A 27,777-nucleotide genomic window follows, 5' to 3' on the forward strand; every position below is an offset into this window, starting at 1 on the left:
GGCATGATCTCAGCTCATAGCAGCCTCCACCTCCTGGGTTCAAGCGATTCTCCTTCCTTAGCCCTCTGAGTAGCTGGGATTACAGGCACCCGCTATCACACCTGGCTAATTTTTGTATTTTTAGTGGAGACGGGGTTTTACCATGTTGGCCAGACTAGTCTCGAGCTCTTGACCTCAAGTGATCCACCTGCCTCGGTCTACCAAAATGCTAGAATTATAGGTGCGAGCCACTGTACCCGGCCCCCTCCTTCTATTTATTACACTAAATGCCATGAAAGTGAATTTTTTTCTCCCCAAGCCTCCCCATCCCTACCAGACACTGAGAATTATCTTAATGGACATGTGGCTACATTCATTTTAGAGTTCGACTTTGGAAATCTCTTAGAAATGTTACTTTAGCTCCTCCAACCTGATTTTTTAATTATTATTATTTTTAACATAATAGGCTCTGCTGACCGAGATGATGGAAAGGTGTAAGAAACTAGGAAACAAGTAAGTATTTTAAGATTCATAAAGCATGAGTTTGAAAATGGCGTTGGCTGCTATTTTTGAGCTTGGCCTGCTTACCTGGGTATGAGCTGAAGAGAGAGAGGCAGGACTGCATGGAGGTTTAGAATGCTGGAGTCCGGTTGCCTGGCCTCAGACCTTGGCTCTGTTCTGTCTTAGCCCTGTGACCTTGGGCCGCTTGCTTGACCTCTCTGTGCCTCTGTCTCTTCATCTGTAAAACGGGAGTAATAATAGTTCTTTCAACTGGGCGTGGTGGCTGATGCCTGTAATCCCAGCATTTTGGGAGGCTGAGGCGTGTGGATCACCTGAGGTCAGGAGTTCGAGACCAGCCTGGCCAACGTGGCAAAACCCCATCTCTACTAAAAATACAATAACTAGCCGGGCTTGGTGGTGTATGCCTGTAGTCGCAGCTACTCAGGAGACTGGGGCAGGAGAATTGCTTGAACCCGGGAGGCAGAGGTTTCAGTGAGCCGAGATCATGACACTGTACTCTAGCTTGGCGACAGAGTGAGACGCTGTCTCAAAAAACAAAAGAAAAAAAGTAATAATAATAGTTATTTCCCCATGGGGCTGTGGTAGGTGGTTGGGCTAGGATGAAATTGATCTCCCTGACTCTCACGAATATGAGGTTGTCTCTCTGCTTTCCTTTTAGTGGTAGATACATGGAAACAGCCTTGCATGGGCTTTGTTTACCACTGTGTCCCCTGTGCCTGGTGCCTATAACATAAGATCTCTTTACTAAGAAATCTCTTGCATAAACTGGCCAGACACAGTGGTGCATGCCTATAATCCCAGCACTTTGGGAGGCTGAGACGGGTGGATCACCTGAGGTCAGGAGTTTGAGACCAGCCTGGCCAACATGGTGAAACCCTGTCTCTACTAAAAATACATAAAATTAGCCGAGCATGGTGGCGCATGCCTGTAATCTCAGTTACTTGGGAGGCTGAGGCAGGAGAATCACTTGAACCCGGGAGGTGGAGGTTGCAGTGAGCCAAGATCGTGACACTACTCCAGCCTGGGCAACAAAGTGAGACTCCATCTCAAAAAAAAAAAAACAAAAAAACCAAAACTCTTGCATAAACGATGTGGATATATATTTACAACATGGATCAATATCGTTACTTAATGTTCTGTCTCATTAGTGCACCAGCTTATTGAATGCTCGCTCTTCTTCTCCTTAAATGAACTGGATCACTTGCTGATCTGTCTATCCACCCTGCCATCTAGCCATCCATCCATCTAAACATCCAGTTAATTCAACATTTATTGAGTTGCAGATATGTACAGGACACTGTGTTAGTCTCTCCAGTTTACCTTTTTACTCTGATTTTTTGTTTTTCCCCAACCCTACCGCTAAAGAGCTGTTAGTCTTCCTTCCTGGCAATATATATTCAAAAATTAAAGCAACTTTGATTGAGGAGAAGCCAGGCTGACTTGGGGATCTGTGTCTTGCAGTGCCTTGCTGTTGAATTCTGTGATGTCTGCCTTCCGGGCTGAGTTCATCGCCACAAGGTCTATGGATTTCATTGGCATGATTAAAGAGTGTGATGAATCTGGTTTCCCCAAGGTAGGCTCTTGACTTCATGCTCAGTAGGACACAAATAAGCGGTGTGTATCTGATAGCTCTTGAGAGACAGTCCGGTTTTGGGAACAGCATGGGCCAGCAGGAACACAGGCGAAGGCTCTGTTTCTGAGGAACGCAATGGAAGATGAGTTAGAGGTTGGGATTGTCAGACACTGTGTGATTGCTATGCTTCAGGCCCCCATGAGCCCTAAATCTATCAGATTGGCTCACTATGAAGGATTTAAGAAAGACTTTGGTCTAACATATTTAAGAATATATCAGGCTGGGCACGGTGGCTCATGTTTATAATCCTATCACTTGGGAGGCCAGGGCAGGAGGATCACTTGAGGCCAGGAGTTCGAGACCAGCCTGGGCAACACAGCAAGACCCCATCTCTACAAAAAATCAAAACTTAGCTGGGTGTGGTGGTGCATTCCTGTAGTCCCAGCTACTTGGGAGGCTAAGGTGGGAGAATTGCTTGGAGCCCAGGAGGTCAAGGCTGCAGTGAGCCATGATTATGTCATGAAGCCTGGTGACAGAGTGAGACCCTGTCTCAAAACAAACAAAAGGATATATCTTCATTCATTATTTATGAAAAACTTTGTCCAGTAGAATATTATGGCCCCACATTAGACCAACAGATGGAGCTAACTCTGTGTGAGCCTCTCAGTGTAGCTGGGGCAGATATGTGTGATAGAACTTTAGAAGGAGGTTGTTGGAAGATTAGCCCCAAGAAGGATTAAACATTACAACCTTTTCTCTTTTCTTTTCTTTGAGCTTCAAGTTAATTTGATTTAAAATTTCCATAACATGATGGTTTGACATGTTTCTTAGCATCTTCTTTTTCGATCACTGGGATTAAACTTGGCCTTGGCTGATCCTCCTGAGAGTGACCGACTTCAGATTCTCAACGAAGCTTGGAAAGTCATCACTAAGCTGAAGAACCCACAGGTGAGTGGCCATTTTATTTTTATTTTTATTTATTTATTTATTTATTTATTTATTTTGAGATGAAGTCTTGCTCTGTCGCCCAGGCTAGAGTGCAATGGCGCCATCTCGGCTCACTGCAACCTCTGCCTCCTGGGTTCAAGCGATTCTTCTGCCTCAGCCTCCCGAGTAGCTGGGATTACAGGTGTGTGCCACCACACCCAGCTAATTTTTGTATTTTTAGTAGAGACAGGTTTTCACCATGTTGGTCAGGCTGTCTCAAATATCTACCCATCTTGGCCTCTCAAAATGCTGGGATTACAGGCGTGAGCCACTTTGCCCGGCCTGCCATTTAAACTTTAAATCAACCACTTTTTGTCCAAGTTTTGGCATCTGCTCTTTTAAAAAATTACCCTTCCAAGCTGAACATGGTAGCTCACACCTATAATCTCAGCACTTTGGGAGGCTGAGGCAGGAGGATCACTTGAGGCTGGGAGTTTCAGACCAGCCTGGACAACATAGCAAGACCCCTGTCTCTATTTGAACTAAAAAATAAAAATTATCTTTTCATTAGTTATACATTTTTCCCTAAAGAAATCTATTTATTATAATTGTATTATTTGTTTACCTGTAATGGAGAATGGATAGCTTTAAAGATGTAATTTCTTTGATTTTTTAAAAATTCAATTCTCACAGCCTTAAGATGTGCTAAAAGTATAAAATTACATGATCATGCGTTCAGAACTGCCATAAAAAATACAACTTAAAAAAAATGCATAACATTACAGATATTTGAAACTTTATGAAAAATCAGTTAACTTTATAGTGGGCATCCAAAATATAACAGTTCGTAAGATTTAGGCTTGAAAATATCGTTAGTAGGATATTCCTAAATAAAAGATCAGCCTTTAAGCCAGTAATTAGCAAAAGGAAATTCCCGTTTCCAACCATTGAACAGAGCCAGCTGAAGCCTCCTGTTTGCTGTAATGCATACTATGTTGTACTTAATGTTAAGATGTTTTCCTTTCTCTTTGTAGGACTACATTAATTGTGCCGAAGTGTGGGTGGAATACACCTGCAAGCATTTCACGGTATGTGTGACTGTGGTATTGTTTTTGAAAGAATTAGATTTTTTCATGTTTATAATAGTGAATTAGCCTAGTTTAGGTATTGAGGCATTTGACAACGGTACTTGCTCTTGTAATTTATAAAAATTGCATTCTTCATAATAAAGCGTGATGGAGCATTAATATGTGTACTATAACAAAAAATAACTGTTCCATGTTTACATTTAAGTTTGGAAAATGCAGCATTACACAAAGTTAAACCATTTTTTTTTTACCATAGGATACCTTAGATGCTTACATGCTAAAGTGCATTGCGACTGTACATCAGAGTCTAGTAAGCAGCATTTCCCAAACAATTTGACTGGCATGTAATTTTTTTCCTAAGCAAATATTTCTTTCCCTAGGCACAGACTAGAACCACAGTTAGGGGAATACTGGGCTTCTCAAAGAGCAGAGACTTTAGAAGAAGATAGAAGTGGGTTCAAAACCCTTGCCAGAGTAATTTGTTTATTTTAATCAAGTCCTAAAAGTTTTTTTTTTTTTTTTTTTTTTTTTGAGATGGAGTCTCGCTCTGTCGCCCAGGCTGGAGTGTGGTGGCGTGGTCTCGGCTCACTGCAAGCTCCGCCTCCCGGGTTCACGCCATTCTCCTGCCTCATCCTCCCGAGTAGCTGGGACTACAGGCGCCTGCCACCACGCCTGGCTAATTTTTTTGTGTTTTTAGTAGAGACAGGGTTTCACCATGTTAGCCAGGATGGTCTCGATCTCCTGAGCTCGCAATCAGCCCGCCTCTGCCTCCCAAAGTGCTGGGATTACAGGCGTGAGCCACCGCACCTGGCCAAGCCCTAAAAATTTAAGTGTGGCATTGCTATGGTCTGAATGTCTGTGCCCTCCCAAAATTCATATGTTGAAATCCTAGCCCCCAGGATGATGGTATTAGGAGGTGGAGCCTAGGTCATGGCAGGCAGAGTCCTTATGAAGGAGATTAATGCCCTTATAATAAAAGAAGCCCACCAGCCTGGCCAACGTGGTAAAACCCCGTCTCTACTAAAAATAAAAAAAAAAATTAGGTGGGTATGGTGACACCTGCCTGTAGTCCTAGCTACCCAGGAGGTTGAGGGAGGAGAATCGCTTCAATGTGGGAGGCAGAAGCTGCAGTGAGCCAAGATTGCACTCCTACACTCCAGCCAGAGCGACAGAGTGAGACTCTGTCTCAAAACAAAAATAATAATAAAATAAGTCCTGAGTTGCTCACTGTCCCCTTCCATCCCATGAGGACTTGGGGAGAAGATGCCGTTTGTGAGGAATGGGTCCTCACCAGACACCAAATCTGCCTTGATCTTGGACTTCCCAGCCTCCAGAACTGTGAGAATTACATTTTTGTTGTTTACAAGCTTCCTGGTTTATGGTATTTTGGTAGAGAAGCCCAAACAGACTAAGCCAAGCACACATGCAAAAAAGTGCACGTATCATAAGTTTGCTGCTCAATGAATTTTCACAAGGTATGACCATATAATCACCATCCAGAGTAAGAAATAGGAAATAAGTGACCCCGCAGAACCCCCAGAACTGCCTCTCCCTGTCACAACAGCCTTTGAGGAGGTGAAGGTAGACACCATCCTGGCCTCTAACACCAAAATTGATGTTGCCTCGTTTTGAGCATTAGGTAAATGTTGGTCCATTGATTTTTGTGGTTTTTTTTGGTCCTATTTTTATTTTACATTTTATTATGGAAATGTAAAACATATGCACTCCCTTGTACCCATCAATCAGGAATTATCAATTTATGACAGATCTTGTTTGATTTATATCATTACCATGTCCCCTGACCCCTGGAATATTTTGAAGCATATCTCAGACATTGTATCGTTTCATCTGTCAGTATTTCAGCACACCTGTAAAAATATAAAGATTCCATTGATTGATTGATTGACAGACAGGATCTCACTCTGTTGCCCAGACTGGAGTCCAGTGGTGCAATCGTCACTCACTCCAGCCATGACCTCCTGAGCTCAGGCAATGCTCCTGCCTCAGCCTCCCGAGTGGCTGGGACCACAGGCACATGTGGAGATGTAGAGATGGGGTCTTGCCATGTTGCCCAGGTTGCAGGGTTCACTTCCTTAAACCAAATCTAAATACATTATTCTAAGGAAAAAAGTTACTAATTTTTTTTTTCTTCTGTTTTTGAGATGGAGTCTCACTCCGTCACCCAGGCTGGAGTGCAGTGGCATGATCTCAGCTCACTGCAACCTCCGCCTCCTGGGTTCAAGTGATTCTCCTGCCTCAGCCTCCTAAGTAACTAGGACTACAGGTGTGTGTGACCACACCCCGCTAATTTTATGTATTTTTAGTAGAGACGGGGTTTCACCATGTTGGCCAGGCTGGTCTCGAACTCCTGACCTCAAGCAATCCACCTGCCTCAGCCTCCCGAAGTGCTGGGATTACAGGCATGAGCCACTGCACCCAGCCGAGTTACTAATTATTTAATATCATCAGTACCAGTCAATATTCTGATTTCCCCAATTGTCTCATTTTTTTTAAGTTTATTTGTTGAAATCTGGTTGAAAATAAGGCTTCTCCATTGCAATAGACATTTTAGGATACTTTTGATGTATAAGTTCTCTCTCAAACTGTCTCCTTCTCTCCTTCCCCTTTCTTTCCCTGTAATTTATTTGTTGAAGAAATTGGGTCTTTTGCTCTATAGAGTTGCAAAGACTGGATTTTTCCCATTGCATCCTTGTGATGGTGTCTGGCGTGCTCTTCTGCCTTTTGTATTTTCTATAAATCAGCAGTTAATTATAGAGACTTAAAAGCCATTCTTAGCTTGTGGGCCTTATAAAAACAGGCCCTGGGCTGGATTGGGCTGCAGTTGGCTGACTCCTGCTATAGGTGACAAAAGTGAACAGTGAGCAGTTAGGTCAGACAGCTTGTAAGGGTGAGCCTGCAGTCTTCCGCAGTGCTTCACTGTTCTCTCTGCAGGCACCTGAGGGAGGGCCTGGGACAGGCAGGTGGAGAGAGGCACGGCCGATTCAACCATCACTCTGGGAAAGCAGAGACAATGTAAAGCCCCAGAACTTTTGAGAAGAGCGTTTAGTCCTGACTAGGTGTGGGGCTGTGGTACTAGACCGGGTGATATGAGTGAGATTTCCTCCCTTCCGTTATTTTCAGCAGAATACTGAAATTGATTTCCTGGAAGGTGTGTGATATATTCTGAATACGTTAGTCCTTTCCCCCAGGAACATGGTCAGCAGTTGCCATACAGTGTCTAATTCAGGTTTGGTTCCTTTTTCCTGCTTAGAAACGAGAGGTGAATACCGTTTTGGCAGATGTCATCAAGCACATGACTCCAGATCGTGCATTTGAAGATTCCTACCCCCAGGTAACAGATTTGCATTTCTCATTTCAACATTGTTAGGAATTTTGTTCTGTTGAATTAAATAGGCGTGTTGTATGGGTCAGGCTATAAAGGCACATAATCCTGTGTTTGAATCATAGCTCTGCCATATCCTAGCCATGTGCCCTTTGATCAGTTACTTAACCTTGTTGTGCCCCAGTTTTCTCACCTGTGAAATGGAGATAGTAATAGTGCTACCTGAGAGTTACTGTGAGGATGAAGTGAAGCCCTCACACAGTGGCCTGGCACGTGGTAAATGCTCAATAAGCGTTGTCTTCATTGTTGTCACCAGTAAGTAAACTGCGAGTATTTTTAGTTAAATCAACTTTGTTTTTTCCTTTTTTTTTGAAACAGGGTCTCGCTCAGTCACGGAGGCTGGAGTGCAGTGGTGCGATCACCGCTTGGCACAGCCTCGACTTCCTGGGCTTAAGCATAATTTTTTTATGTGGAAATAAATTTAAGCTTATTGGAAAGTTAAAAGAAAGCTCAAAGAATTCCTATTATTCTTTAACCAGATTTACTAGCTGTTAACATTTGTTTTTTTTTGTTTTTGTTTTTGTTTTGTTTTGAGACGGAGTCTTGCTCTGTTGCCCAGGCTGGAGTGCAGTGGTGCGATCTTGGCTCATTGCAACCTCCACCTTCAATTCTTCTGTCTCAGCCTTCCGAGTAGCTGGGACTACAGGGGCGTGCCACCACGCCTGGCTAATTTTTTGAATTTTTAGTAGAGTTGGGGTTTCACCGCGTTAGCCAGGGTGGTCTCGATGTCCTGACTTCGTGATCCACCCGCCTCAGCCTCCCAAAGTGCTGGGATTACAGGCATGAGCCACTGCACCCGGCCAACTGTTAACATTTTACTACATATGCTTTATCATTCACGCATTCCACACATATATACATGTATGTGTGTACATTTTTTTCTCAGAATTATTTGATAATAAGTTGCATACATTATGTCACATTTTGCTTCTAAAGAGTTCAGTGAGGCAAGGTGTGGTGGCTCATGCCTGTAATCCCAGCACTTTGGGAGGCCAAGGAGGGCAGATCACTTGAGTCCAGGAGTTCAAGACCAGTCTGGGCCATCTCTACAAAAAATATAAAAATTAGCCATGCGTGGTGGTGCATGCCTATAGTCCCAGCTACCTGGGATGCTATAGTAGGAGAATCACCTTACCCTTGGAGGCTGAAGTTGCAGTGAGCCCTCCAGCCCGGGTGAGAGAGAGACACGGTCTCAAAAAAAAAAAAAAAAAACCCACTAATGTGAAATACCCATGTGAAAAGGGTATAAGAGCAGCTTTTGAAGGGGCTCTCACTTGCTCCCAATTTGAGGATCAAATGGAATTAGAACAGTAACAGATTATAGCCCATTGAGTAAAATAGGAATCCAAGAGTCCATCCTTATGCTGAATAGATAAATAGATGAGCGGATTGAGAAATGTGAAAGAAATGGTAGAATTGGAAAAATCACCATTTTGTAGCCATCCCAGTAAAGACAAGAATTGTCTTCCTTTAGGTAAGAATTATCAGTGTATGCTAACCCTGGGAAGAAGAGTTTTGCATGCATTGAGGAGGAGAGAGATTTTGAGAGTTTGATGAGGAGCAGGATATTTGCATATCTCAAGAGGTCTTCCTACTGAGCAGGTATCAATTGCAATGAGGAAAATAGTGACTATACAGCAGAGACAGTGGACAGTCCAGTTAATGAGAGTTCATCTCACCAATGAGGAGCAAAAGGCCATCATGTGCCTGCAGATGTAGTACCCTAAGAAAGACACAGCATCACCTGTATAGCATTTCAGTTGAGAATGCACAAGGGAATGTCACACATGCGCAGATTGAGAAGCATTTTATAATTCTTCAGAAATATCACCATGGCCAGGCTCCATGGCTCACACCTATAATTCCAGACTTTGGGAGGCTGAGGCAGGAGGATTATTTGAGGCCAGGAGTTCGAGTCCAGTGTGGGCAACATAGCAAGACCCTATCTCTGCAAAAAATTAAAAAAAGAAAGAAATTAGCCAGGTGTGGTGGTGCATGCCTGTAGTTCCAGCTATTCAGGAGGCAGAGCTGGAAGGATTGTTTGAGCCCAGGAGTTAGAGGCTGCAGTGAGCTATGATAGCACCACTGCACTCCAACCTCAGTGACAGAGTGAGATCCTGTCTCTAATTGAACTAAACTAAAAATAAAATAAATAAAATGAAATAAAACCCAAAAACCCCACATATATCATTGCCCTAAATGACAAAGACAGACGGAAGAACTTGTGAACTAACACAGACTAAAGAGACGTGAAAATGGAATGCAGTGCGCAATCTCAGACTGGATCCTGCACAGAAGATGGAAAAAATAATGTCAGAAAAGACTAATTGAGACAATCAACAGCTTGGAAATGGGTGATAGATGAGATCAAATTAGTTTAGATTTCATTATATCAGTGTTAACTTTCCCAATTTGATGACAGCAAGTGGAAATGTCAGAGAATATGATTATTCTTAGGAAATAAAAAATGAAGTGTTAAGGGGTAAGGGCATGATTCATGCAATCTACTCTCATATAGTTCAGGGAAAAAATAGTATGTTTTGCATAGAGACAACCACAAAGCACATTTGGCAAAATATTAAAAATTGATGGATTTGGGTAAAGAATATATGGGAGTTCTCAGTACTATTCTCTCAGCTTTTCTGCAAGTCTGAAATTATTTCAAAATAAAAAGTTAAAGCCAGGTGAAGTGGCTCACGCTTGTAATCCCATCACTTTGGGAAGCCAAGATGGGCGGATTGCTTGAGCCCAGGAGTTCAAGACCAGCCTGGGCAACATGGCAAAACCCCGTCACTACTAAAAAAATATAAAAATTAGATGGGTGTGGTGGCGTGCACCTGTGGTCCCAGCTACCCTGGAGGCTAAGGCAGGAGGATTGCTTGAGCCCAGGAGGTCAAGGCTGCAGTGAGCTGAGATCATGCCACACTGCATGCCAGCCTGTGCAACAGAGAAAGACCCTGTCTCAAAAAATAATAATAAAACAAATAATAATAAAACAATGATAGAATTGTTTACAAATTCTATCATTAAATGGATGGATAAGTGAGATGATAAAGTAAATGTATTAAATTGCTGGCTTTTGTAAAATCTAGGTGGTGAATAAATGCGTGTTTGTATAATTCTTTCAATATTCTTTATTTTTGAGCATTTTTATAATGAAATATTAAGGGGAAAAAAATCCTGTCTTTTAAAATCACAGTTTATGTGTAGCTGTGCTTAAGTGTTAACAAAAAATTTCTTGTTCTAAAGGGATTAGGTGCTTTATGCTTCAGAAACTATTTTAACCAGACAGCATTGCAGTGTCTTACAATGGTATGCCTTGGAGCATTGTTTATGATGAAGTTTTGAAGTCCTTTATTAGTTTTTTGCTTGACTGACCTAGTAAGCTGCCTAATTATGAAATGGGCACATAACGTTCTTCATGTTCTGTTTTTAGAACATGAGAGATTTTCTTTGGAAATTATTGAAACAGCAGTTTTTTTAGTGTAAACAAATTGTCAGTACATTTTCTTGATAGCAACCAGAGGTGGAGAGTTCTATTTTATTTAGAAACCGCATCTTCTTGGCTCTCCTGGACCAAGGCCCTGTCAGCCTTTCAGTCTGGACTGTGCATCGCAGAGTGAGGGGCGGTAACCATCAGTATCTGGGCATTTTTGAGGCAGACCTCACAGACTGTGCCACCATCCTTGGGTAATACCTTGGCCTTTAACTCTACCAGCACACTCTGTCCAAATCCTCTCCAGTGAATAATCAAGAAACACAGGGCCACACGATGATGTAGAATAGGGATTGGCCAACTACAGCCCATAGGCTATATGTAGCCTGCCACTTGTTTTTGTGAATAAAGTTTTATTGGCACAAATTCATTTAATGCACATTCATTTAATGTTGGCAATGGCTGCTTTTGCACTGCAATAGTGTTGAGTAGTTGTGGTGGACTGTAGGACGTTTATAGAAAAAGTTTGCCCACTATTCAAGGAATAACAATAGCTGACATTAATGGAGAACTTTCTAAAGGCGGGCACTGCACTCAGGACCTTCCACGAACCATTCCATTGAGTCCTTACTGCTTTGATCTCCAATTCACAGATGAGGAAGCTGAGACTGAGACTCAGTTACTTCCCCAGGACTATGAAGTAGGATGTACAGAGTCATTGGGCAAACTCAGCTTGAGACAGAGCCTACCCTAAGCCCAGTTCACCATTTGTTGAACAATCCAGGCTTACCTTATTGTAGTAATAATTGCAAATTATGAAAGGTGATTGCCTTTTTAAAAAAAAATTTAGGTTTTCCTGAGAGAATGTAAACCAGAAAGAAATTTTTAAAAATTAAGTTTTTAAAAATAATATTTTTGTTTGTTTGTTTTACAGCTTCAGTTAATAATTAAGAAAGTTATTGCCCACTTCCATGACTTCTCAGTTCTTTTCTCAGTGGTAAGTAGGATTTCTTAATTATCTTTGGAAATTTGTACCTGGCTCAGAGGTTCTCATTGTCTCAGTAATGTTTTCATGATGCCCCAGGCCAAAAGAAATATTCAGCAGTTCCTTTTATAAAGTAGTTAAGTCTGATCAACTTAAGTATTTATGTCCTAATAGATTAAGCCGTATTTGAAAAAATAATACACAAAAACTGAAAGAAAAATATTATTTCTGTTTCATTCCTTACTTATGGGATATGTATAAGTAAGGGCATTACACAACTTCTCAAACCTTCAAAACACTTTGGACAGCCTTCTCTTACTTTGCTCTTCCACAGTGATTTTCACAGGGCACTTGCTTTTTAATCACACAGCCTAATGTTGAAACTATGAAATACATTGACTAGTAGTTGTTTCAGTGTCTGACAGTTGAGATTTACCATGATTCCCTCAAAAATTTAAAATATCCTGCGATGTCTGTTCGAGTTTGTTCAGTGCCCTGGGCAAGTAGGGAATCTAGGTTATTCCCTGTATAGTAACATTCTCTGTCTCTCCCTTCACTTCCCTCTTCCAGGTTCCATTTACATGTGCTCACAAGATTGTAAGATTTTTTATTTTAATCATAGCAGCTAATATTTATTCGACATATACCACACTCCAAGCACTGTTCTGGGACTTTACATGTATTGCCTCACATTAGTTTCATACCACCACGGGGAAGTAGGAGTTATCACTGTAGTATTGCCTTCTTATCCAGGAGGAATATACATTCCAAGACTCCCAGGAGTTGCCTGAAACCGCAGATAGAACTGACTGCTGTGTATACTATGTTTTATCCTATACATACATACCTACGGTAAAGTTTCATATATAAATTAGGCACAGTAAGAGACTGACAACAATAGCTAAAATAGAACAGTTATAACAATATGCCAGCATTGCTACTCTTGCACTTTGGGAGCATCATTAAGTAAAATAAGTGTTCTTTGAACACAAAAATGCTGTGATACCATGACAGTGAATCTGATGACAAAGACAGCTGCTAAGTGACTAACGAGCAGGTAGCATCTACAATGTGGAGACGCTAGACAAAGGGATGACTCACAACCTGGGAGGGACAGAACAGTATAGCGTGAGATTTCATTACACTACTCTGAGCAATGCACAATTTCAAATGAATGGGGCTGGGCTTAGTGGCTCACACCTGTAAACCCAGCACTTTCAGAGGCCAAGGCAGGCAGATCACCTGAGACCAGGAGTTCCAGACCAGCCTGGCCAACATGGCAAAACCCTGTCTCTACTAAAAATACAAAAAATTAGCCAGGTGTGGTGGTGCATGCCTGTAGTCCCAGCTACTGGGGAGGCTGAGGTTGCAGTGAACCGAGATTGCACCAGGGCACTCGAGCCTAGACAACAGAGCGAAACTCTGTTTCAAACAAATAAAATGCAATAAAAATAAAAATGAAAATGAATGAAGTGCTTATTTCTAGAATTTTCTATTTAATATTTTCGGATGGCCGTTAACCGAGGATAACTGACACTATGGAAAGCAAAACCGCAGATAAGGGAGCAACTACCATATTCCCACTTTACAGATGAGAAAACTGATGCAGGAAGAGGTAGAGTAACTTGCTTACAGCCACACAGTCACCGAGGTTAGTATTCAGAGCCAGGCGGTCCAATTTCGAGGCCATCTGTGAACAGCTCTACTCTGACTCTTCTTCCATTGCTCATCAATATAATCACAAAAAGACTGAAGTCTGCCTTGCCCAGAAAAGCTTGTGGTCATCAAAGGTTGCCTGGATGGCTCACCAAAATGTTAACTGGTCCCAGCACCAATCCCTGGAATGCATATAAGTTGTTTTAATAGTAACAGCTTTTTATTTTGTTTGTTTGTTTATTTTTGAGATAGAGTCTTGCTCTGTCACCCAGGCTAGAGTGCAGTGGAGTGATCTCGGTTCACTGCAACTTCCGCCTTCCCGAGTTCAAGCAGTTCTCCTGCCTCAGCCTTCCAAGTAGCTGGGACTACAGGCATGCATCACCATGCCTGGTTTATTTTTGTATTTTTAGTAGAGACAGGGTTTCGCCATGTTGGCCAGGCTGGTCTTGAACTCCTGGCCTCAAGTGATCCACCCGCCTCAGCCTCCCAAAGTGCTGGGATTACAGGTGTGAGCCACTGTGCCCGGCCCAGTAACAGCTTTTTACAAGCCCAGTCAGGTCCTCTCCCTGATTTCAGAGGAGTCCTCATCTGACCCGACTCAGAGAGATGAACCTCTGTTCTGCTTCTTTGAACTCCACAGAAAAAGAGACCCACAGATTCCTTCCTTCCAATAACTTGTGTCATTTGCATATAGAGTGCTTGCTTTATTTATAGGAAAAATTTCTGCCGTTTCTGGACATGTTCCAAAAAGAGAGTGTGCGGGTGGAGGTTTGCAAATGCATCATGGACGCCTTTATCAAGTGAGTGCCACTGCGTGCAGCAGAAGCCTTGATTCCCAATGTCCTTGTGAAACCTGTTGATAAAAAATCAGTTCTTGCACTTTGAGGCCGAGTGATGTGTACGTATTTCATACAGAAAACCACACTGGAAGGAAAGCCACATTAAAAGCAGCAGTCTGATAAAAGTTTGTAATTCGTGTTTAAGAAGACAGAGTAGCAAGTGTTATCATGAGCCTGGCCAGAAAACCACACTGGAAGGAAAGCCACATTAAAAGCAGCAGTCTGATAAAAGTTTGTCATTCGTGTTTAAGAAGACAGAGTAGCAAGTGTAATCATGTGCCTGGCCAGCAGCTCCATTTTACTTTTGATATGTTTTTAGAAGGAGCAGTCTTTTGATAAATTCCCTCAAGAGTAACATTTTTAAGGATACAAATCAGGACATACATACTTACGAAGAAGGCACCGGTGCTAGAAAGGTTTTCATCTTCAGTGTTTAGTTATGTAGCTGACTAATGTGTGATCAGTTTTCAAATTTAGCTCTTTAACAAAAAAGAAAAAAAATCAAATTTAGTTCTTTTCATTTTTTTGATTAAGTCTGTGTTTCCCAAAACTGCCCGACTGCTAGTGGTACATGAAATAATTTTAAGGTGGTGCATGGAAAAAAGGTGTTTTTGTTTTTGTTTGGAGACAAGTTCTCACTTTGTCATCTAGCCTGGAGTGCAGTGGCACAATTACGGTTCACTGCAGCTTTGACCTTCTCATGCTCAGGTGATCCTCCCACCTCAGCCTCCCAGGTAGCTGGGACTACAGGTGTGCCCCACTACAACCCAGCTGATTTTTGCATTTTTTGTAGAGATGAGGTCTCTCTATGTTGCCCAGGCTGGTCTTCATCTCCTGGGCTCAAGCCATCCATCCACCTCAAAGTGCTGGGATTATAGGCGTGAGCCACCTCGCCTAGCTAGGGTTTTATTTTTATTTTATTATTATTTTTTTAATTTATTTTGAGGCAGAACCCTGCTCTGTCACCCAGGCTCGAGTGAAATGGTGCGATCTCAGCTCACTGCAGCCTTCACCTCCTGGGTTCAAGCAATTCTCCTGCCTCAGCCTCCCGAGTAGCTGGGATTATATGCACCCACCTCCACGTCCGGCTAATTTTTTTGTATTTTTTATAGAGACAGGGTTTCGCCATGGTGGCCAGGCTGGTCTCGAGCTCCTGGCCTCAAGTGATCCACCCGCCTCGGCCTCCCAAAGTGCTGGGATTACAGGCATGAGCCACCACACCCGGCCTGTTTTTATTTTTAGAGTTATATATTGATTTTAAATGTATTAGGCAGTTTATAACTAGTTTAATATGATTTCATTTACAATATATTATTTTTTAGGACAGGGTTAAGAAAAAAAAGCTAGTTACTTTAAATATTAGGTGTATAGATATGGTTCACTTTGGAAAATTGAGTTTGATATTGCTCAAATGTTTTAAGCTTTTCTTGTCATCTTTCTAAAAGATTAATTCCTTCCTAAGGATTAATATTAATTCCTAATTAATATGCTTGGAATAAATATACCTAATTTACTTACCTAAAGATTTGTTTTAAGAGCTTGCCCTTTTATATTATTTGAAAAACCAAATGAATAATTTTGCCTGGCAAAATTCGCCTGTTAAGAACACAGTGACAGGTTTTGGGCAGCTTCAGAAGGTATAAGAAGCATAGTTAAAAACAAACAAACAAAAACAGGTTTGCCCTTAGCCCACCTGGTTTAGGAAGGGGAACAGTTTTTCTGTGATTTTGCAGTTAGGAGAAGTTATCATGTGTATAGAAGAGCAAACTTGTTATTTAAAGAATTCTGGGCCAGGTGCGGTGGCTCACGCCCGTAATCCCAATACTTTGGGAGGCTGAGGCAGGTGGATCACCTGAGGCCAGGAGTTCGAGAGCAGCCTGGCCAACATGGTGAAACCCTGTGTCTACCAAAAATACAAAAATTAGCTGGGTGTGGTGACGCACGTATGTAATCCCAGCTACTTGGGAGGCTGAGGCAGGAGGATCACTCCAACCCAGGAGGCAGGGGCTGCAGTGAGCTGAGGTCACATCACTGCACTCCAGCCTGGGTGACAGAGTGAGACTCTGTCTCAAAAGTTTAAAAAAGAATTCTGAGACAACCAGAGAACATGGCTCGTTACTGGTAAACTGGGCTGGGTGAAATGCCAGCTGGATAATTTGCTGCTTTTCAAGTGTGTACAGTGGATGAAAACTGAATCCACTCTTGCAGTGCTGTCAGTGGACAAAACTTTGACTTTTATCTTTAAATGTCTCCTAGGCATCAACAAGAGCCCACCAAGGACCCGGTCATCTTGAATGCCCTTTTGCATGTTTGCAAGACCATGCATGACTCTGTGAAGTAAGCCATGCTTACAGCTGAAATATAACATGGATTGGGTCTTAATGCCACCTAATAGGACATTAGGGAATGACTGCTTTAAGCTGCCACTGTGAATAATATTACTTTATTGGGAGTATTAAGATTTTTGCTAACGAGGACATTCCAATCCAGGAGAGGAAGGAGGCTGAGGTTAACCTTCTTGAGAAAGCGACGTGGCAGATGTTGTTAGAAAGGAGTTTATGTTGCGGGTAAAAAGCTGGTTCCATTCAAGTGAACTCAAACTCCATGTCTCTTGGAGATTTCTGAGAGCAGCAGATAGTGTAATAATGAGCTCACTCATCCAGTAATATAGCCTTTTTATTTCATCTCTATATTAGCCAATTATTTGAAATTCAAATGAAACTGCTTGAGGCTGAGACCTATCCACAGGCATTACCTTTCAGTCAAAGGCTGAATAGTCACTGCCTTCTGGTTTTTGTTTGTTTATTTTTAAAATATGTTTTCGTTTGACTGTGCTTAGGGCAATTCCTGCTTATTTGTGGCTGAAATTTTAGTCCCCCAAGAATTTTTAAACACAGCAACTTGATTTACTGGAAAATGTTACAAGAATGGAGAAAATTGTTTTGGAACTTAACCATCAACAAGATGAACTGTATTTCTTCTTTGTTTTCTCTGCATTTTAGAATCTTCACTTCCATGATTTTTTGTGCTTTCAAATTCATGGGTAGTTACAAAAATCAAAGTGTCGAGGCATTTCATAAAAATGGAACCGGTAGACTTTAGTTGGACAAAAATAGAAATAAAGACACAAAAAGCATCCAGAAAGGCACTTAGATTCGTGAGACATTGGGTTTTGGCTTAAGTAAAATAGAATGTTGATTTCTCTCTTGTTAAAATTGTGCATAGTAGACAGACCAGAAGGTAGGGGTAGGGCAGCTCTTCTTTCAAACATCATCCAGGGACCCAGGTTATTTCTGTCTTATTGTTCTCCCAGTCTATCTGGGGTGTTGTCCTTATCTTCTTCCTGGAAGCTGATGTACCTCAACCATGTCCACGTTCCAGCCTGTGGGCATTGGGGAACAGCAGCTTTCTTTTAGGGACAAAGCTGGGAAGGCTCACACATCATATCCCATTGTTCAGAACTGTCCCATAGCCACCCCTAGCTGGGAAGGAGGCTAGGGAATGTTGTTCTAAGAACAAAGTGGGGCTGGGCATGGTGTCTCACACCTGTAATCCCAGCACTTTAAGAGGCCAAGATGAGTGGATCACCTGAGGTCAGGAGTTTGAGATCAGCCTGGCCAACATGGTGAAACCCCGTCTCTACTTTAAAAAAAAAAAAAATACAAAAAATTAGCTGGGCGCCTTGGAACGTGCCTGTAATCCCAGCTACTTGGGAGGCTGAGGCAGGAGAATCGCTTGAACCTGGGAAGCACAGGTTGCAGTGATCCAAGATCATGCCATTGCACTCCAGCCTGGGCAACAAGAGCGAAACTCCATCTCAAAACAAAAACAAAAACAAAAAAGAACGAAGTGGGCATTTGTATTGAAGGACAGTGGGCAATCTTTGCCAAAACATTTTCTCCGAGAACAAACCAACAAACAAAAACCTTGACTCCTGTTTTCTCTGGGCTCTTAAAAATTTTTTTTTTAAATAACTTTGGGGAACTATTTATTCCCCAAATAACTATTTATTTAACTATCCAAGTATAATCAAAACTGTAATGACTTTTTCTTATTTATATTTGTGTTACATTTTCTATTAAATAGAAGCAACTGAGACCTGAGATTTACTTTACAATGTATCAAAAAAATAAGATGGATTGATGGATGGAGAGGGGAATGGATAATTATGTGTAAAACAAGTAAAATGGTGATGGCAGGATTTCGATGGTGTATGGGTGTTTACTGGAAAATTCTTTCAACTTTGCTGTACATTGGAAATATTTCTGTTTCCTTTTTGGGGAGAACGGGGTCTCGTCATGTTGCCCAGGTTGATCTCCAACTCCTAGGCTCAAACGAACCTGCTACCTCTGCCTTCCTAAGTGCTGGGATTACAGGTGTGAACCAGCACACCCCGCTGGAGATTTTTTAAATAAAATATTCAATGAAATTTCCCTGAAATACAAAATTTGACATTAGACCTTGCTGCCCAAGTTCCAAAGAAGTGAAAGTTACCTTTTCTTTTCTTGTTAATAAATCTATCTTGAGAACAGCATATTTGAGGGAGATGAGAAACATATTTAAATTATGTTAATTGTGATTATGTATTTTTATCAAAGGAAAAATAAGCAGCCTGTTGGCAGTTTTTTAAATCTAGAAAATGCAAAATGTTCTTACCTGTTAAATTACTTACCCCTTGTGTATTTTTTTCTTTAGAAACTTTCATCTATTACCTCCGTGTTAATTATGTACAATTATTGATTTTAGTGCACTCACTCTTGAGGATGAGAAAAGAATGCTGTCATATTTGATTAATGGATTTATAAAAATGGTAAGTATTAGGGAAGAAGTTTCAGTGCACTTGGAAGTGTGATGTAATTGTTTATCCTTATGTTGGCGAAAGCAGTTAACATTATGTTCTCTGGTGCTTTTCATTCTTAGTGAGATAAAATGAAATTAGAAAACATCTTACATTAGCCAGGACTCCCCTGGGGGCAAAGAGAGCCAAGACAAACTGGCTTAAGAGGAAAAAGGTGGGGGGCGGGAGGGTGATGGGAGGAGGGATTTCTTGGCTCATGTGACAAAAAGTCCAGGGGCTGGAACTCTCCAAAGCAGCAGCCGGGCTCAGGGTCTCCGGGATGTCATCAGGACCTGCCTTCCCTGTCTTTTTTCTTTTTTTTTTTTTTTTTGAGATGGAGTCTCGCTCTGTCGCCCAGGCTGGAGTGCAGTGGCGCGATCTCAGCTCACTGCAAGCTCCGCCTCCCGGGTTCACGCCATTCTCCTGCCTCAGCCTCCCGAGTAGCTGGGACTACAGGCGCCCGGCACCACGCCCGGCTAATTTTTTGTATTTTTAGTAGAGACGGGGTTTCACTGTGTTAGCCAGGATGGTCTCGATCTGCTGACCTCGTAATCCGCCCGCCTCGGCCTCCCAAAGTGCTGGGATTACAGGCGTGAGCCACTGCACCCAGCCCCCTGTCTGTCTTTAGCCCTGGGCTCTGCCCTGTTGGCCTCCGGCTCAGCTGGGCTTGCCCCACCAGAGCTCCAGGTTTCCATCCCCCCCAGCTCTGCAGCCCAGCAGGTGGGATTCCAGCAAAGTCCTGGGATTGAGTCTCTTTGGATTAACATGGGTCGTGGCCCCAAGCACACCTGGGTGACCTGAGTCAGGAGGGCCGAGAGTGGAAAGAAGGTGTGTCCTGAAGCAGCTGATGCAGATCATCAGACGGTGATGGAAACTATGCCGGGCAGGCAAAACGCCAGATATCCACTCCCCATCTGTTTTACTTATCTACTGCTGAGTAACAGCTCATCCCAAAACTTAGTGGCTTTAAATAACAGGGCTTTTTTTTGCTGTTTTTTTTGGGGGGGTCGAGACAGGGGTTTCCAACTCCTGGTTTCAAACAATCCTCCAGCCTTGGCCTCCCACAGTGTTGGGATTACAGGCCTGAGCCACTGCGCCCAGCATGAGTTTTTTATTAGTTCTCAAACTCTGCGGATCAGCTTGGTAACCAGGCTGCTACAGGGAGTGTGGTGTGGCACTGGCGTGGCACGATTGGGCTGGAGGATCCACAGTGGCCTTGTTCCCTTCTCCAGGGTTTTGGTGCTGGATATGGGCTGGGGCATCTTGGTTTTCTTCCATGTCCTCTCTTTCTCACCACTGTTCTCAGTCAGTGATTCCAGTTGAGCTCTCTTACTTGGTGCTGCCTTCTATGAAGGCACAGACAGAAGCAGCAAGGCATTTTAAGGCCAAGGCTTAGAAATCACACAGTGAGGCCAGGCGCGGTGGCTCACATCTGTAATCCCAGCACTTTGGGAGGCTGAGGCAGGTGGATCACCTGCGGTCAGGTCGAGACCAGCCTCACCAACATGGTGAAACCCTGTCTCTGCTAAAAATACAAAATTAGCCGGGTGTTGTGGTGCATGCCTGTAATCCCAGCTACTCGGGAGGCTGAGGCAGGAGAATCGCTTGAACCCGGGAGGCAGAGGTTGCGGTGAGCCAAGACCATGCCACTGCACTCCAGCCTGGGCAACAGAGCAAAACTCTGTCTTGGGAAAAAAAAAAAAGAAATCACACAGTAAACCCCTGCCATATTCTACTGCAATCTGTGGGTCAAAGCAAATCACAGTCTTGAGGGGACCCAGTCTGGAGGGGAAGAGGCTCTGCCTTTTGATGGGGGGTAGTCCACAGAGACATTGCAGAAGGGCAAGCACAGTGGGAAGGTTTCCTGCAGCCTCCTTTGGGAACATCCCACCATTATACTATCCCAGCCTGAACAGTCTTCACCTTCATTCTGGGTGCTCTAAGCCAAAACACCAACTGCTGCAAATATCTTCTATTTTAATAGAAAAGTCAGGACCAAAGCTGACTGAGATGAAAATGACGAGATCACTTTGAAAATAACCTTGAAATTCTGACTTGTTCAATAGTGCGGGTTGATTAGTCTACCTGACTCTGCGGGTAAAATATCAATTTTGATGAAAATTCAGGATTAGCCTTTCAATTCCCGTGTTAGGAAACAGACATATGGATTTTCCCAAGTCGCTCTCCTTTGCCCTTGCTTTTTGTACTCATCATGTGGTATTTATCTTTTTACGGCATTGTCTGAAAGTTACCAAGTTATTATGGAAAAGAATATAAGGAAATCAGATATGAAACATGATAGCTGTAATGGAAATGGCAATGTTAAACCTCATCTGGACAAAAATGATTGATGTACAGTAAAGTTTTTCTTACTAACCAGCTATTCATAAATTTGAAGAAATAGGAGAAGAGAGGATGTTTAATGGTGGAAAAACTTCCATCTATGGCTTCTGTAGCCACCAGTGAGCTGCCAAGGTTGGGTCCCCATCAGGAAGCAGAAAGGTGTGACTGTTACGATGGCAAACCTTCTGACAAGGGGCCCCCAATAACCACATTTATGTTCTGTGAAAAGGCCACAGCTGACAAACAATATCCCATTATTCCCTTTCCAGTGGTTTCCTTCAGAGTCTGGAAAATTCTGCTTACACTCTGAGCTTCTGTTTTATACCCTTCGACTTCTTAGGTTCTAGTCCAGTGCCCACGTCATAAAGATGAGGTGGCAATAATAATATTTCAGTCATACCATGTGCCTGCGTTCTCTCTAAAAATACCACTGTCCCTTTCAGCGTCTTTCTCCTTGATTCTAGGTTTCCTTTGGCCGTGATTTTGAACAACAGCTGAGTTTTTATGTTGAGTCCAGGTCGATGTTTTGCAATCTGGAGCCTGTTCTTGTGCAGTTGATTCATGTAAGTATTTTCATTCATTAGTTTCTTCTCTCAGTAAATATTTATTGATCATCTACATCCCAATCATTTATTTTGATTTTATTTTATTAGAGACAGGGTCTCACTCTGTCACCCAGGCTAGAGTGCAGTGGCGCAATCATAGCTCACTGTAGCCTTGAACTCCTGGGCTCAAGCAATTCTCCCTGTCTCAGCCTCCTGAGTAGCTGGGACTACCAGCTCAAGCCACGATGCCCAGCTATTTTAAATTTTGTTTTGTGTTGTTTTTTGAGAGATGGGGTCTCTGTGTTGCCCAGGCTGGTCTCAAATTCCTCACATCCAGCATTCCTCCTGCCTTGGCCTCCCAAAATGCTGGGATTACAGGAAAGAACCACTGCGCCCACCCTTAATCTGGGTTTTTTCTGGTCCTATTTTGTTACTCTTCTCTATGGTATGAAAGGTGGTTTCTCAAAGGTTAATAAACTTACAACTTTGGTTTTATTGATCTGTTTTTCTGTGAGATTTGCATTTTCCCATTTCTGCCTGCCAGCAACAGAGGTAAGTGATTTACAATGATTAGTTACAGAAATCTAACCAGAAGGAGCCCCTTCTTACGTAACAAGAGGTTCCCTACTTTCTTGGATCATGGCAACTCTCAGTAACTTTTTATGGTGCCCTCAGACCAAAAGAATTAATAACAGCCCTGTTTATTAAGAAGTTAGGTTCAGGCTGGATGTGATGGCTCACACCTGTAATCCCAGCACTTTGGGAGTCTGAGGCTAGCAGATCACTTGAGGTCAGGAGTTTGAGACCAGCCTGCCCAATATGGTGAAATGCTGTCTCTACTAAAAATACCAAAGTTAGTCAGGCGGGGTGGCAGGCACCTGTTGTCCCAGCTACTTGGGAGTCTGAGGCAGAAGAATCGCTTAAATCTGGGAGGTGGAGGTTGCAGTAAGCAGAGATCGCGCCACTGCACTCTACACTCTAGCCTAGGCAACAAAGGGAGACTCCATCTCAAAAAAAAAAAAAAAAAAAAAAGTTAGGTTCAGACAACTTAAGTATTTATGTCTAACAACTTGACAGCCATTTGAAGAAAGTATATATATAAATTGAAAGAAAAATAATACTTTTTTTTCCTTTTCTTTTTGAGCTGGAGTTCTTGCTTTGTTGCCCAGGCTAGAGTGCAATGGTGCGATTTTGGCTCACTGCAACCTCCACCTCCCGGGTTCAAGTGATTCTCTTGCCTCAGCCTCCCGAGTAGCTATAATTACAGGCACCTGCCACCATGCCCGGCTAATTCTTTGTATTTTTTAGTAGAGATGAGGTTTCACCATGTTGGCCAGGCTGGTCTTGAACTCTTAACCTAAGGTGATCCACCTGCCTCGGCGTCCCAAAGTGCTAGGATTACAGGCATAAACATCAAGCCCTGCCAATTTTTTTCTTAACCATAATTAGTAATGATGGGTGTGTACTTATGAAGCATATCACAGCTTCATAAAATTTTGGAGTTAGATTGGTGATGCTATTCTTATTTCTTGTTTTACATTCACTGTTTTTTACATTTATTCTTGCACAGCGATTAAACTTGCTTTTGATCACAGTAGCCACGAAAAACAAGTTTTACAAATATATGATGTGGCTATAAGGGATGTAAAGCAGTCCATCATCAAATCAGCCTTGCACCAGTGCTTTTTACAACGTGCAACAAACAAGTATTGCTGTTTACAATGTGCGACAAACAAATATTCCCTAAAAAACGGTGGCGCCCCTGTGAGTTTGCTGCAGCACCCCAGGGTGCCATGGTGCACCGTTTGGGAACCACAGGTCCAAACTTTTTATATCTGTGGAAGGGTTCCCTAAGGCTCTTTCATTATTTCATGTCTATTCAAGGAGAATAACTTTCATATGTATTTGTTTGCTGGTTAGCAAGTTATTTAGCACAACTAAACTTAAGACCTAAATTTAGAAACTATCTGGAAATCAGGGGAGGTAATAGTATCCACCCTGGGATTATGAAGCTTAAGTGAACCAATGAATGTATAGCTCTTAAATAGTGCTTGGAACACTATTAGTGATGATGTGGCTACTATCATTATTGTTCTTATTGTTGGTACTGTATAGCTGAATGGTGTGGTCTGATTGTCTAAATGGTGTGCTTTGGAGTTGTCTCTTAAGATTTCTAAATTCTTAAACTTTGGTGTGGTAGGATTTCTGGAAATGGAGTAAGTGAGCCCCAGCTATTCATTAAGCCAGAAAATGGTCACTAAAATGCTGATCAAAAGGCATGACTGACGTAGCCAACACTGCCTTTTGTTCTACCCTCTTGGAGATGTTTGCTCAAGCCATGATTGGATCAGGCCTGATGACCCCTTTGGCATTTCAAGGTTTAGTGCTAACCAGTCTTGGTCCTAGAAAGCTTGTTCTCATTGACCTGTATGTAGTTAATGTTGAGATCTCTATGGAAGACACTCATCTGAATCGGCCATCGCTTCATTACCATTTCTATTTTATTAATAAATTCAGAGTGTGAACCGGTTGGCAATGGAGACAAGAAAAGTAATGAAAGGAAATCATTCCAGAAAGACAGCTGCATTTGTCCGGGTATGTTCTTAAGATAAGGACTGTTGGACCTCGAACTCCAGTGGGCTGTTTAGTTTGCAGGTTACTAAATTACATTTCCCAGAAAAAGATGAGTATGTCATGATAAGAATGGTTTAGTATTGATTTTTCAGATTAATTTTTCCCTGTATCTATGGGATGAGCCATTTTCTAATGTTTTCAAGAGAAATGGTTAAATGAGTCTGAATTTTAATACGTGTTGTGGGGAAGGTGAATGAGCGATGGATCTGCATTTTTATGTGCCAGCTGAATTAGCTTTCATTTTCTCTAATATACTAATATAAGACATATTTTATAACATTATAAAATATAAAATAGTTTTCTAATATAAAAATATGTATAATAATATTGTTCTTGTAACTGAAAGGCCTTTTTTCCTCTAGATAATAATGATGCCCAACTTTGTTTTTGTTTTTCTTGAGACGGAGTCTTGCTCTGTCACCCAGGCTGGAGTGCAGTGACGTGATCTCGGCTCACTGCAACCTCCGCCTCCCAAGTTCAAGCGATTCTCCTACCTCAACCTCCTGAGTAGCTGGGATTACAGACGCGTGCCACCATGCCCAGCTAATATTTTTGTATTTTTAGTAGAGATGGGGGTTTCACCATGTTGGCCAGGCTGGTTTCGAACTCCTGTCCTCAAGTGATCTGCCCGCCTCGGCCTCCCAAAGTGCTGGGATTACAGGCGTGAGCCACCACACCTGGCCTGATGTTAAACTTTGAAAAATCATTTTCAGCTTCTTGAAGCTGAAAATTTTATCAGATGTGATGCTGCTCAAAATTTATTTAGCTATTCATTCATTTATTTATTTTTGGAGACAGGGTCTTGCTCTGTCACCCAGGCAGGAGTGCCGTGGCACCATCATAGCTCACTGTAACCACCATATCCGGGTAATTTTTTTGTTTTTTGTAGAGATGGGGCATATCACTAGGTTGCCCAGGCTGGTCTTGAACTCCTGGCCTCAAGTGATCCTCCTGCCTCAGCCTCCCAAAGTGTTGGGATAACAGGTGTGAGCCACCGCACCCAGCCCTGCTCAGAATTTTAAGAAAGAAATATGTGTCTGTGTTTTTAAACATGAAATTATACTGAAAAGATTACAGTAAAAAATAAGCATCCTGGCTCTGCCCTTTGTCACCTTGCTTCTCTTTCCTCAGTTAGCCACCTCAAACTCTTTAGCAACTGTTTCTAATTACCTCCATATTTTTAAGCAATTGGTTTAAACAGCTGTCTCTCAATTTATCAATGTTAGGTGTTACGTATTTACTTCCCGTGATGGTGGGTGAGGATTTGTTTTTCCTGCATTATCACTCACTCCCCTCACACCCCTGTCCTCCTAGAGGGTCATCAGAGCAGAGTTGTACAAGAGGGGAAAATGGGGCTCAGAATGTGGAGATTCACTGTTGTAAGTTTCTTTCCTTGGAAATACATGAGGGATGAAAACAGGAGTATGATTCTGCCACCGTTGCACTGCTAGCGTTAATGTTTCTTCCCTTCTCCTAGGCCTGTGTTGCCTACTGCTTCATCACCATCCCCTCCCTGGCGGGCATCTTCACACGTCTCAATCTCTACCTGCATTCTGGTCAGGTGGCCTTGGCCAACCAGTGCCTCTCCCAAGGTAAGTCCATCATTCTCTCATCTCGGGCACTCCCTTGCTGCTTAGGAAAACTGACTCAGGTGTGTGCGTATGTGTGTAGAGAGAGACAAAGATTTCTTTTTTTAGAGACAGAGTCTCACTCTGTCACCCAGGCTGGAATGTAGTAGTGCAATCATAGTTTCCTGTAACCTCGAACTCCTGGGCTCAAGCAGTCCTCCTGAGTAGCTGGGACTGCAGGCGCACACCACCACACACAGCTAATGTTTTTATTTTTATTTTTTATAGAGATGGAGTTTCGTTTTGTTGCCTGGGCCTGTCTTGAACTCCTGGGCTCAAATGTTCCTGCTTCCCACCTGGGCTCAAATGATCCTCCCAAAGTGCTGGGGTTACAGGCCTGAACCACTGTGCTCAACCAAGAGAGATTCCTTTAAGGAGGAAAGAAAAAAAAAGATGAATAAATGATGAGTTTTAAATTTGTTTCTCCGCTAGGAAGCACATTGGACACATATGCATTTATAGAGTCAGACAGATCATAGAGCACAGATAGCTTCCTGTAAGAACCTTCTTAAATCTGTCTAGGACAGACCGGGTCATGCAGCTCAGACATCCTGAGCTCAGCACACCTGGAGAAAGTGAGACATGAGGACTGCTTCACAGTGGTAGATTCATGTTTGTTTGTTGTTGTTGTGGATGTTTGTGTGTTTGAAACCCCAGAAACACACAAGTACCATCTAATCTGTGATAGAACAAATACCCTACAGTTTGCTGTTACAGATAGTTTCTGCCCAAGACTGGTCTTTCCGTACTAGACACCAAAGCCATCCATTAGGCAAGGATGCTCAGGATCATTTATTTGGGAGAAGGTGATCTCAGTGATATCAGAAGAGTGATGTGAGATGAGACAGGGAAGGAAAGGAAGCCAGAAAAATAGGAACCATTGAACAGGTCGTTCCTGTGGGCAGCTGAAGCTCATTCCCATCTGGGAGGTGTTGTCAGACAGCCAGTGTTTCTCCATCTGAAGGGCAAGGAAGACAGGTGATTTTCCCTTTATTCTCATCTGTCATTGACAGAGTGCTGCTTCTAGGATATTAACCCCCTGGCATTCTGGCCTGCTCCACACTTGAGCCAAGAGAAGGCACTCAGGTGGAAAGCCCAAGTGTTTGCTGCAGGACACCCTGGTTACCTACTGCAACGGTGTACGCCAAGGGCCTGCAGGCAGGTTAGCAACAGGGTACCCACCCTGCAGGCCGTAACACAGAGGGTAAAAGAAATCTTTACGCGACATTTATGGAGTGTTTGTTATGTGGCAAGCCCTTTGCACAAGTTATCTCATTTCATCCTCCCAGAAGCCACATGGGGCCGGTGCTGTGGCTGGTGCCTTATTACCCAGGTGAGTAAACTGAGGGAGAGAGTGGCCAACTAACTTGCTTGGGGTAGAT

At 42.6% G+C, this 27,777-nt stretch overlaps 1 protein-coding gene across 7 annotated transcripts in view; it reads left to right on the forward strand.

Moving 5' to 3' along the window:
• The window catches only part of VPS35L (VPS35 endosomal protein sorting factor like), a 145,461-nt gene that overhangs the window by 70,029 nt on the left and 47,655 nt on the right, over positions 1-27,777 (forward strand). For 3 of the 7 annotated variants that reach the window (NM_001365295.2, NM_020314.7, NM_001365294.2), the window contains 12 exons: positions 446-492; positions 1,963-2,074; positions 2,906-3,022; positions 4,036-4,089; positions 7,361-7,441; positions 11,863-11,925; positions 14,284-14,369; positions 16,665-16,745; positions 19,155-19,218; positions 22,053-22,151; positions 24,651-24,728; positions 26,245-26,359. In NM_001365295.2, the coding sequence (NP_001352224.1) occupies positions 446-492; positions 1,963-2,074; positions 2,906-3,022; positions 4,036-4,089; positions 7,361-7,441; positions 11,863-11,925; positions 14,284-14,369; positions 16,665-16,745; positions 19,155-19,218; positions 22,053-22,151; positions 24,651-24,728; positions 26,245-26,359 (997 nt within the window). Of the gene's footprint in view, positions 1-445; positions 493-1,962; positions 2,075-2,905; positions 3,023-4,035; positions 4,090-7,360; positions 7,442-11,862; positions 11,926-14,283; positions 14,370-16,664; positions 16,746-19,103; positions 19,219-22,052; positions 22,152-24,650; positions 24,729-26,244; positions 26,360-27,777 lie in introns of all 7 variants that reach the window. The other 4 variants (NR_158161.2, NR_158160.2, NM_001365293.2 and 1 more) reach the window with 2 other exon arrangements.

Source organism: Homo sapiens, chromosome 16, assembly GCF_000001405.40.
Source record: "Homo sapiens chromosome 16, GRCh38.p14 Primary Assembly".
Classification (NCBI taxonomy): Eukaryota; Metazoa; Chordata; class Mammalia; order Primates; family Hominidae; genus Homo; species Homo sapiens.